Source organism: Homo sapiens, chromosome 8, assembly GCF_000001405.40.
Source record: "Homo sapiens chromosome 8, GRCh38.p14 Primary Assembly".
In the NCBI taxonomy this organism is placed as follows: Eukaryota; Metazoa; Chordata; class Mammalia; order Primates; family Hominidae; genus Homo; species Homo sapiens.
Window position 1 is genome coordinate 60,344,372 of NC_000008.11, and position 12,938 is coordinate 60,357,309.

At 39.5% G+C, this 12,938-nt stretch overlaps 1 long non-coding RNA gene across 7 annotated transcripts in view; it reads right to left on the reverse strand.

The window, feature by feature from the left end:
* The window catches only part of LOC105375864 (uncharacterized), a 79,123-nt gene that overhangs the window by 59,407 nt on the left and 6,778 nt on the right, over positions 1-12,938 (reverse strand). The window contains exon 1 of one of the 7 annotated variants that reach the window (XR_928940.2): positions 6,186-6,633. The exons of 4 other annotated variants lie outside the window; for them this stretch is intronic. This is a non-coding gene — a long non-coding RNA (uncharacterized LOC105375864). Of the gene's footprint in view, positions 1-5,047; positions 5,436-6,185; positions 6,634-12,938 lie in introns of those variants that run through there. 2 more of the 7 variants (XR_928938.2, XR_928941.2) reach the window with 2 other exon arrangements.

Genomic DNA, 12,938 nt, shown 5'->3' on the forward strand with positions numbered 1-12,938 from the left:
TTATGAACACAAAGGAAGGAGACAACAGACACTGAGGCCTCCTTGAGGGTGGAGGGTGGGAAGAGGGAGAGGAGCAGAAAAGATAGCTATTGGATCCTGGGCTTAATACATGGGTGATGAAATAATCTATATAACAAGCCTGCAGGACACAACTTTACCTATGTATCAAACTTTCACATGTACCCCTGAACCTAAAATAAAAGTTTAAAAAGTTTTAAAATTTTTTTAAAAAACTTAAAGCCAAAGTCTTTTTTTTTTTTTTTTGAGACAGAGTTTCGTTCTTGTTGCCCAAGCTGGAGTGCAATGGCACAATCTCAGCTCACTGCAACCTCTGCCTCCTGGGTTCAAGCGATTCTCCTTCCTCCGCCTCCCGAGTAGCTGGGATTACAGGCATGCACCACCACGCCCAGCTAATTTTTTATATTTTTGGTAGAAACGGGGTTTGTCCATGTTAGCCAGGCTGGTCTCGAACTCCTGACCTCAGGTGATCCACCGTCTTGGCCTCCCAAACTGCTAGGATTACAGACGTGAGCCACCACGCCCGGCCAATAAAGACAAATTCTGAAGTAAAAAATATAAAGAAAAGTAAAACTAAAAAATAACCCAAAGATTTCTCAACAAATCAAAAGTTCATAGAATTGTAGCAAAATCATTTTAACATTTTTCCGGAGGAAAATAGAGAATGAAAGAGAAAAATTAACTTTCTCTAACGTCACACAGGTTATATATATCAGATAATATGCAAATTTTTATTTTCCCAACAGCCCTATGAGATAAACATTAATATCCTCATTTCAGAGGTTCCGGAAAACTTGGATAAACTTTTCCAGGCCACTATTATGTATGGGAATTTGAATTCAAATCTGTGATTATCTGATACAAATATTTGAATGATTAACTGTGTGCTATCTTGTCTCCCAAGTAGTTATTGACAGAATGGGTGTTGAAATTAGGAAAAAGATAATTTTAATACAAATCAGGGTTTTGTATATGTAAAATAGGACACATTTAGGGGACATTTCTCTTCTCTACTACCAGTTGCTCAAGGTAGCCCTATGTGCGTGATGGAGGAAACATGGGGCCCACTGAGGTCCACCAAAGGCCACACCTTATGAGATGGCTCTGAGATTAGATGAATCAGATGGGGAAGAAACTCATTGCTCAACAGATTTCAGCATTATTTCCTAAAGCTAAGATCCAAAGTTTAAAGTGGTAAACTTATTTAAAAAAAGCAGGCAGAAACTTCAGGCCTCAAGTCATTACAACCTCTCACCCTCCACCTGCAGCTGGAAGTAAAGGGGTATAGCTGTTGCTGCTGTTGTTTGATATTATTATTGTTGGTGACTTTAAGTAAAACAATGTATAACAAAATCAATTTTCCCATAAGCTAATTGATATAAACAAGAGTTAGGCTGAGTGGAGTGGCTCACACCTATAATCCCAACACTTCGGGAGGCTGAGGTGTGAAGATCACCTGAGCCCAAGAGTTCGAGACCAGCCTGAGCCACATGGTGAGACCCCCATCTCTACAAAAATTTTAAAAAAAAAATTAGCCAGACATGGTGGTGTGTGCCTTTATTCCCAGGTACCAGTTGGCAGCCTGAGGCAGGCGGATCCCTTGAGCCCAGGAAGTCGAACCTGCAGTGAGCTATGATCACACCACCGCACTCCAGACTGGGCAACACAGTGAGACCCTGTCTCAAAACAAAAAAGCAAGAGTTAAGTTTCTGTGGCAAATTCATGGTCACAAACATCACCAAACTTCTAAATAAAGACCCAAAACACCTCTAATATTAACCATGGGAGCTGTGCATACATTTAAGAAAGATTAATAAAAACAAGAAGGATAATTTTTCCAATTTCTGGTGAATCTGTAAGTGACAGCAGTCATTGTGGTGATGAGTTAAATCAAGAAATAAATGTTTGAAAATCGAAAATTGTCAGGAGCATCTCCTCCCACCAGGCAGTTCAAAACCAAACCATCACAAATGTGGCGACTCCCACAGAGCTTTCTTCATTTATTGTCGTATATTTGTATTGATTATTGTAGACTTTCTGCATTTTTATTTGACAATAATTCATAATTAATTCATTCATTCTCCAAACTGTTTGTTCCAGTTCAAGTCTGCAGGTGGCCAGAACTTATCCCAGTGGCTCTTAGGCAAGGTGGGAGCCCACCTGGACATGACATCATCCCATCACAGGGCACACGCACACACACACACACACACACACTTACACTAGGACCACGTGGACAAGCCATTTCACCTAACTTGCACATCTTTGGGATGTGGAAGGACACCAAAGGAGCTGGAGAAGAAACCCCATGCAGAAAGGGGAGAAAGAGCATGCAAACTCCACACAGCCAGCGGCCCTGGCCAGGAGTCTGTTTTTTGTTTTTTGTTTTTTGTTTCTTTTTTCTCATCAACATAACGAAACCACTTTGAAAGAAATAACGTTATTTGGAAACCTGCTATGTGTGTTAAGTGCTTATTATACACAAAATGTAAAGCATTACGTTCTTCACTAATTTTTATTTTAAAAACATAGCTCCCATTCCAAATGAGGCTGTAGTACAATTCTCTGAAGATTAAAATGAATGCGCTTAGGGAATATATACCAAAAGAAGCAGACTTTGCTGTCAGCCCCAAATATCTGAATTCCAGCAATGAACAATTTGGGCGTGAATTCAAAGGAAGTTTATAATGTTGAGAGAAAATAGCACTGCAGCTATTTTCTGGGAAGCCTTAAAAGCCTGTTTCTGAGAATTTCTCTCCTTTTTGACATAAAATTAAATGAATTGATTAAATTCTATGACTTAGGACATTTTTTAAAAATCCAGATGAATAGCTCTTCCCTTTCCCTTCTAAACTGAATTGACTGCTTTTTTGTGCATGCAACTAGAATTTTTTTAAAAAACTATAATTGTATATAGTAAAAGACTTTAGGCAGATCTCCATTTTACATACTCAGTTGCTGATGTTTTATATCTATTAATTCTCAGTCACTGCTCTGAATTTAGCCGTTACATCCAACTTCACTATATTGCAAATTCTCCAAGACATGAGAGAAAAATATTACAACTTCTCCCTGATTCAAAGTCCTCTTTGAAAAGTAATATTAAAAACACCAAATAATTTGTTAAGTAGAAATAAAATATGATCATTTTTGTTACCTACAAGATATGATGTACCTCCTAAAAATAAAAGTATAGCTACCTTGACTCTTGAGTTAACTTAAAAATGTTACAACCTGTTTCAATTCTCCATTACCCAATCTCAAAGGTGAATTAATATACCTTTAATACTAGGGACTAAAAAGAAAAAAATAGAGCTACCTATCTGAGTGTCTGGACAAACAGACAAAACAGATATCGCTACTCTCTTCTTGAGTTGGTGGCTGAGGTTTGGGCAAGTTACTCAACTTATGGTTTGGGGGAACTGGTTACTCGGCTTGTTGTCTAATTAGATCTCAAACAGAATCTGAGCAAGTCACATGTGCAAGAAAGAAGCTCCGCCTCCAGGCCCCACTGTAAACCTTCTCGAAGTGCTTCCTCCCGCTCCATCTCCTCTGCCACGCCCCCAGTTCCAGTCCATCAGGGCAAGACTAGCTTTCCACTGGTCCTTGTCCCCTAAGGCAGAAAACTTTCCTGTATTCTTGGGAAGAAAAGACTTGGCAATGATGCAAATCAAAATATTTATCTAGCCAGTAGAGAATTATCTGTAATCCATTTACCTTTTAAGCCAAAGAACACTTAATAAGCCCTGGACATCTCTTTTTCACTATTGGGGAGAAAATATAACAATGTACCAGAAAAGCACCATACACAATCTGACATTTGCTGCGTCTCTTTATTCCCAGCTTCCAAATTTAGATAATTACTCACAAAACTTTACATCGATCTATCTACAATATACAATATTTGCAAGATATGTAATGCTTCCTTTTATTGTATTAATTTATATTTAAGTTATAGCTTTCATATTCCAATGTATTTTGTATTTACAACACTCTATAAAGTGTCTACTAGATTCTGTTTGTCTCCAAGACCAGGTATTGGCAACCACTATATTTATTTTTTATTGGTATGACCACACCAAGATAGGCAATGAAATATAATAGCCAGAATGCTTTCTATTATCCCCCAAAAGAGAGGAAATGGTGAAGGGTTTCAATGCTATAATAAGAAGGCTAAAATAGCAAAAAGCTATGTAAGGGATGGTCCTTCACCTCTGAGTTTTGTGCCAAGGTAAATAAAACACACTAAGTTACCACTACTACTGTCCACAATAGTTGGTAATTAAATGTAAGGAAGAGTTGAGGTGGGGAATTAATTTCAGAATTAAATATGTTAAGGGAATGTGGAGGGTGGGGAACACATAAGAGATGTGGTTTGTCACTAATGTGCTGTCACGGGAGGAGAAAATCAAGAACATGATAATTTCCAAATTACACTGAGATACTGGAGATTTCTCAATTTGTTTTCCTTTTTGTACTCCTGATATCTTAACTGACCTTGAAAGTTGCATTCTTCTTGCTGTTTCTTCTTGGGAAAATTATTGCTAACTACTTTTTCTATTTACAAACTTGTTAGGTTAAAACAATACATGTTGAAAGAACTGCAAAAAAAATCAAGAACAACATTGTTCCCAATCCACTCTTCATTTCCTTCCTCTTCTTATCTCTTCCCTGACTCATTTACTTCTCATTTTCCTTTGATTACCATGTTCTAGTCAATCATGAAGGAACAACGTATTTCATGCTTTAATTTGTTTTCATGCACTAGTCCTATTTTTGAAAATTGAATAACTCAGTGAAAGAAAAAAAAAATCACAACCCAAACAAGGCAAATACCCACATAAGTGAAGTAAGTAAGTGAATAACACCATAGAGTCGGTTTTAGGAGTTTTTTTGTTGTTACTTAATCCTGAGAGGTAAATTAATTCACTTTCATGCCTTTCGTTTGTCCATCTGTAAAATAACTTATAGTACTTATGTGAGTTTCTGTTTGTAGAAAGTCTTACAGAATCATGTATCTAATACTTACCATTTACAATACAAATAACTATGCTTGACTCTCTGAAACATCCAAGACGCAAGTGTCCTCATTCTCTCATTAAAGAGCTGTATAGACTGAGGCTATAGAGATCATGATTCTGCCAGGGCCACGCAGTTCGGAAGAGCTGGCCAGTGTTGAGGCACACTTCTGATTATGCACCCTGGGTTCTGTTTACTGTACCACACTATTTCTAAGAAGTGGCTACTAATCATCACATTTTCCCATGTTACTGAAGGATCACTATCTACTTTTTAACCGACAAGGCTGTGGAAAAATGCATGAAAAATTTGCCTTGGCATCTGAGCTAAAGAGAAGAGGAAGGCACATGTTTCAGCTTGGGCTGCCATAACAAAATACCACAGGCTGGGTGGCTAAAACAATATACATTTGTTTTTTTCACAGTTCTGGAGACTGGAGAGTCCAAGATCAAGGTACAGTAGGGTTCAGTTTCTGGAAACTTCCTGGCTTGCAGATGGCCACCTCTTGCTGTATCTTCACATGGTGGAAAGAAAGCAAGCTCTGATCTCCCTTCCCCTTCTTATAAAGACCCTAATTCCATCATGAGGGCCCCACTCTCATGAGCTCATCTAACCCTAATTACCTCCCAAGGGCCCCCACCTCCTAAAACCAGCACACTAGGGGTTAGGGCTTCACACCTACTAATTTTGGGAGAACCAAAATACTGAGTCCATATAGTAGATTTAATGCCAATTTATCTGCATGCTAAGTTATAGAACAAAATAATTACTAGAATTATAGAAAGTCAACTCAAATCATCTGGCTCAATTTCTTTAAGGAAACAAATGGGAAATTAATCAATCTGTTCAACCATGGTCAATTTCTCATTTGTATTTGATTCTTTCTTATTTTCTTGCTACACTTCACACAATTACCTACATATACTGCCTTTCTTCTTTCCTTATTAAATCCCTCAGTTTCCAGCAGTCTGACTTACATCTCCACCATTCTACTAAAGTGTCTACTTAGCCAAACTCATTCTCTAGAAATAGAACCAATGAGACATTGTTTTCTCTAGAAACCATTCTCTGAACCCCAGACACATAGAATCAAGATCACACACAGTCTGGTCACTCCCAAAGAGTGAGATGAACTCAAACCCCCTCACCATAGATCATGGAAGTTCTGCCTCATGCCCCTTGTACCCCCAAACCCAAGTCATCTTCAATGTCCCAGATCATTCATTATGTTGTCAGCAGCTCAAGCTCGAAGGTTCTGTTGCCACTGAATTAGCTCAGCTCAGGGATTGTCCTGCTGAGCTCTGTTGCTCTGGGCTGTTCCATCTCAGAACTAGGATGCAGATTTCTACTTCAACTTCCACTAAATGCAGCCCCACTCAAGATATTTGTGTAATAGAATATGTTATTGGTGAGGATTTAGCATTAACTACCGGGGACATGCAATAGGCCACAGCCACTGCTGAAGTCAGGCTTGGCCTCCGGCCATGTATCCAGCCCTCCTATTTCCTTCCTTCACTCCCTCCTCCCAGCACCCAGCTCAACTCCCAACTGCATCTAGTCCATTCCTTCATGAAAAGTTAACTATCTCTGTCTCTTTTCTTTTTCTTAGAAACACTGTCTCCCTATGTTGCCCAGGCTGGACTTAAACTCCTGGGCTCAAACGATCCTCCTGCCTAAGCCTCCTGATTAGCTGGGAATACAGGAATGTGCCACCACATCTGGCTTAACTAACTCTTTTGTCTCCTTGGCTGCTACTAAACCATGCCCTCTTCCCACATCATCACTCATCTTCCACTTAAAGACAGTTCTCCTCCTAAGAGCAATTCTGGTCCCTGCTCTGAAGAAATAAATGTTCCACCCCATGTTAGGCTATTAGGTCATGAGGGTGGAACCCTTGTGAATGATAGTAGTGCCCTTATAAGAAAAGACATGACTGGGTATGGTGGCTCAAGCCTGTAATCCCAGCACTTTGGGAGACTGAGGCAGACAGATCACCTGAGGTCAGGAGTTTGAGACCAGCCTGGCCAACATGGTGAAACCCCGTCTCTACTAAAAATACAAAAATTAGCTGAGTGTGGTGGTGCATGCCTGTGATCCCAGATACTCAGGAGGCTGAGGTAGGAGGAGAATTGCTTGAACCCAGGAGATGGAGATTGCAGTGAGCAGAGATTGTGCCACTGCACTCCAGCCTGGGCAACAGAGTGAGACTCCATGAAAGAAAGAAAGAAAGAAAGAAAGAAAGAAAGAAAGAAAGAAAGAAAGAAAGAAAGAAAGAAAGAAAGAGAGAGAGAGAGAGAAAGAAAGAAAGAAAGGAAAGAAAGAAAGGAGAGAGAAAGGGAGAGAGAAAGAAAGGAAAGAAAGGAAAGAAAAACGAAAGAAAGGAAGGAAGACAGACAAGATGGTTGAGCTCTCTCTCTCTGCCGTGTGAGGACACAGCAAGAAGACATCCATCTATGATCAAGGAGATGGGCCCGCACTAGACACTAAACCTACCAGCCCCTTGATCTTGGACTTCTAGCCTTCAGAACTGTGATAAATAAATTTGTCTATAAGCCACCCAGTTAAGGAATTTTGTTATAGCAACTTGAACCGAGTAAGGGAGTGGGGTGCAGAGTCTCTTTAGATGCTGCTAAGGAACCTCTCTGATTCTCACATTTTAAATTGTGATTAGCCTGCCCAAGCCTGCCATTTTCTTTCTTCCACGCATCAACAGTGCCCAGCAACAGCTGTCCGATTCCATTGTCCTTGTATGTTCTATCTCCTCCCACCCCCATTCTTTTCAAATGACAGAGCTATCACACAGCAGCATCCCCTTCCACCTGCACTCCATTGTAGCTCAGCATACATGAGTGTCTCAGCCATCACATGCTGCCACATGCTAGGGGCACCCACACCTTCCCTGCACCAGGGCGGGCTCCTCATTGCCAGCCGGCCAGTGGCTGACAAACTCCAGTGTCCTATTCTTACCATCTACATCTAGGACATTCCTGGTACCTGCTGCCTTAGGTTGGATTTCCTGGGAGAAGAATCAGAGACAAAATATAGGTGAATGTGATTTATTGAAGGAGTACCCTTCCGGAGAAATTGGAAGGGTTGGGAGAGAAGTAGCATAAGGAAAGGGAAGGAATAGAGCAAGGCTGTGGTCTCAGGACAAATCAAAACTTAGCCTGAACCCTGTGGAGATGGGTGTCCAGGAGCATTGTTCCACGCAGAGCTGCCCCACCTCTGAGGCAAAGGGGTCAGTGTTTGTACCCCTATATCAGTCATACCCCAATCCTGAGATACTGGGTCTGGAGTAATATGTATGATCTGTGCTTTAAGTCAGGCAATCTCAGACCTAAGCTTCTACATTTTCCTAGGCCCTCTTCCTGTTAGGTTTTTAATCTGCATCAAATTACTTATCCATTCTAAACTTTAGCTACCATCCCTGAAAAATGAGGATATTAATTTCTATTTCAAAAGATAATTGTGAGAATGAAAGGAGCTAATTGTATAGAACACTTGCATAATATACCTTTATGAGTGCAGTAGTGAGCACTAGCAAATGCCAGCTCCTAATCCTCTCACCCAGTCCCGGCACACTGTTATTTGATTTGGGGCAAGTTAGTTAACCTTTCTGAATATCAATAAAATATGTCAATTTTTCTTTCCTACAAATCTTACAGTATTGTTGTAGCACTGAAAAATACACACACACACTGCTATGGTTTTGCTCTCTGTCCCCAACAAAATCTTATCTCAAACTGTAATCCTCTCATTTCGAGGGAGAGGCCTGGTGGGAGGTGAATTGGATCATGAGGGTGGTTTCCCCCATGCTGTTCTCAAGATAGTGAGAGAGTTCTCATGAGACCTAATGGTTTTAAGTGTGGTGCTTTCTCACTTTCTCTCTCTCTCTCTCCCCTGCTACCTTGTGAAGAAGGTGCCTGCTTCCCCTTCACCTTCCACCGTGATTGTAAGTTTCCTGAGGCCTCCCCACCCATGCAGAACTGTGAGTCAACTAAACTTCTTTTGTTTATAAATTACCCAGTCTCAGGTAGTATCTTTATAGCAGTGTGAAAACAGACTAATACACACACACTCACTCACACACACGCAAGTACTTTTTTTTTTTTGAAACTATGTCTTGCTCTTGTCATCCAGGCTGGAGTGCAATGGTGCAATCTCAGCTCACTGCAACCTCCGCCTCCCAGGTTCAAGCGATTCTCCTGCCTCAGCCTCCCAAGTAGCTGGGATTATAGGCGCCTATCACCACGCCTGGCTAATTTTTGTATTTTTAGTAGAGACAGGGTTTCACCATGTTGGTCAGGCTGGTCTCGAACTCCTGACCTCAGGTGATCCACCTGTCTCAGCCTCCCAAAGTGCTGGGATTACAGGCGTGAACCACGGCGCCTGGCCACAAGTACTTTTAAAACTAAAAAATATTAAAATTTAACATTCTGTTAGCCTCAAAAACATTTGCTGTTGAAATCTTATCCAGTTTCTAAGAGTTCAGAAAGTTAGCGTATTTATTTAATCATCAACTTTTCATTGAAACTTAAGATTTGCAAGCTTCATTTTTCCATTATTATTCTGCTGATATGATGCTATATCATATGAATGGAAACAAGAAATAAGCTAAGGTATATTCTGCATGTAATAATAAAAGACTCTGAGCCTCTGACTGCAAATATAAATAATTATTTAACTCTTAATTTTAAATCAAGGTAAACATGATTTTATTTTCCTTGAGTGTATTGAGAGTCCAGCTACAACTTTTTAACTACTGAATGGTTCCTGTGTGAATGAAGTACCATTGGTACAATTTCTTACCTGTTTTATTAGAAATAAATAAACAGAATGATTTGTTTATGTTTTTAATTCTCTATTTTAAATCGGACAAATATAAGACACAAAATGCAAATAACTACATCATAATACCTTTTGTTAAGTATGGACTTAATATCTTTTGTTAAGTGTGAACAGATGTGTGCTTACATATTCAATTCTACATCTGACAAGGTGTTTTGTTCAAAATTATAATCTTATAAAAGGGGTTCCTGTTTTTGAAATTTTCCTTTTATTCTTTCTTAAGGAGTAAATCATTTCTTGATATGGCTTACTTTACTATCCGTCTTCCTGGTTGTTTAATAACAATGACAGAGACTACACAAAAAGAAAAAAGGTAATATTACTGACAAAGTGACATCTGCAAAAATGACAGAGTAAGGATCTCCAAAAATTTTCTCCTCCACAAAAACAATGAGAAAACTCACAAAAATTGTCAGAATCAAGGCCAGGTACAGTGGTTCATGCCTGTAATCCCAGCACTTTGGGAGGCCAAGCTGGGAGGATCACTTGAGCCCAAAACAAAAATTAGCCAGGCATGCTGGCGCACACTTGTAGCCCCAGCTACCTGGGTAGCTGAGGCAGGGGAACCACTTAAGCTCAGGAGTTTGAGGCTGCAGTGAGCCAAGATCCTGCCACTGCACTCCAGCCTTGTCTCAATAAATAAATAATCAGAATCAACTTTTTCAGAACACTAGAAACTAATCAAAGGCCTGCAGCAACCCAGGAAGTGTTTATTCAAGAAATGGCTGAATCTCATGAAGAAAAGTGAGCTTTGTGATGACTTAACTTACTCTATTCCCATCTTTCCCTCCCCAGTTCCACAGTAACCTTGAAAACTAAAAGTACATTACCACAGTAAAAATCAATAGCCTGGCAGCTACAAGAGGAGGCAGAAAAGGATTAGATCTCCTTTGAAGCCCCATTCTCAAAGAACTGTCATTATTTGACCTGTCCAGTGGTTCCCTGGAAGACCCCACTCATAAAGCCTTGTTTATTCGACCTGTTTCATAGCTGACCCAGTGTGAAAAGCACTGGTGTAAGATTGCAGCTGCCTTAGGTGGTAGATAATAGTTGAGACAAACAATGAGCCAACTAAAAAGCTTTAAAAGAAGAAAAGCTGGGAAAAGAGGTGTTTATAGAGGCTTTGATAAGCTCTGACATATTCCTGGGAACTTAAAAGGTCATGAGCATGTCCAGAATTGTGCATATGCTCAGGAAAGACCTGAGAAGCAACTAAGCCCTTACATCTGGCTAACCTGCAGGCTCTGCATAAGCAGGAAATGAAGGCTAAGGCAGAGCTGTCAACTGCCTGACTGAGTGCTGAAGCCTTGCTTCAACACACAGAAACCCTTGGTGAAAACTGGTAGACTTACTCGTTTCAGGCATTTAAGAAAATTTCTGTTCAATCATTAGCTGACCACTAAGGTAACTGAGCAGAGACTTCAATGACCACATATGACAAAGAATACACTCTCAGAATTTGATCAGAAAGGTCACTAAACAAACGACAACAACAAACAACCCTGGAGAGGGAGGAGAATCCAGAGTTTGTGGAACTGAAAATGTTCAGTTCTCAACAACAAAATTATAAGACATGGAAAGAAACAAGGAAGTATTCCTCATACACAGGGAAAAAGCAGTCAATACAACTTGTCCCTGAGGAAGCCCAGATGTTCCACTTGCCAACAAAGATTTTAAATTAGCTATTTTAAATATGTTTCAAGAGCTACAGGAAAGCATGTCTAAAGAACTAAAGGAAAGTGTGGGAATGATATCTCACCAAATGAAAAATATCAATAAAAAGATTAAAATTATTTCTTTAAAAAAGAACCAAAAAAAATACAAGTTCTGGAGTTGGACTAAAGAGGTTCAACAGTAGTTTTGAGCAGGCAGAAGAAATAATCAATGAACTTGAAGATAGGTCTATTGAGATTAATCAGTCTGATGAACAGAAAGAAAAAAGAATGAAGAATAATGAAGGGAGCCTCACTGAGCTGTGGTATGCCATGAAGCATGACAATATATGCAAAATAAGGGTTCCAGGAGAGGAGAGAAAAGGCCAGACAGAATATTTGAAGAAATAATAGCTTAAAACTTCCCAAATGTGATGAAAACCAATACTACACATCCAAGCTCAATGAACTCTAAGTAGAATAAAAATAATATTGGCAAGGAATTAACTTTGTTAGAGATTTAGTGTTCTGTAACTGTGTGTTTCTAAGAAATTCTCATTTATGATTGAGTTACTTGATTATTTTTCTCTATGTCATATCACTCCATGATAATGTAAAAGGGAAAGTGTTTCTGATGTCTAAAATCTAAGTTGGGGCAGGGCACGGTAGCTCATGCCTGTAATCCAAGCACTTTGGGGGGGCCAAGTCAGGAGGATCACTTGAAGCCAGGAGTTCAAGACAAGCCTGAGCAACAAAGCAAGACACTGCCTCTACCCCCAGCCCAACCCCCAAAAAATTAATTTAGTGCAGTGGTGCATACTTGTAGTCCCAGCTACTCAGGAGGCTGAAGGAGGAGGATCATTTGAGCCCAGGAGTTCAGAGGCTACAGTGAGCTATGAGCACACTACTGCATTCCAACTCCACCCTGGGTGACACGGCGAGACCCCATCTCTAAAAAATAAATAAATAAATAAATAAAAGTAAAATCGAAGGTGGTGGAGATGGGGGAAGAAGGCATTTGGAAAAGAACAGAAAACAGCACTAGTCTTCAAGCCTGTATATTATTAAAAACTCAAAATAAAAAGTAAATTAAAGCATAAATGTGCATACATATGCCATGGTTAAATATTTAGGCTAAATCTGAGCTCAAATTGGTATGTTTTTTAATAATACATAAATAAGTTCATGGACCATGTCTTATTTGCTTAGCACTGTTGCTATCAAGATTATGGTCATAAGCTAGAAGTCCAACATTTTGCTTAAAGTTTTAGAATTCTCTTTATTAGGATGCTTAATTTCAGTGATAATAAGTTTAAAATAACATAAAATTGGGAATCTTTTTATTCTCATGAAAAACTGCTATTTTTGAAAAAGGCTAATAAATCTTAAACAATTTAGATA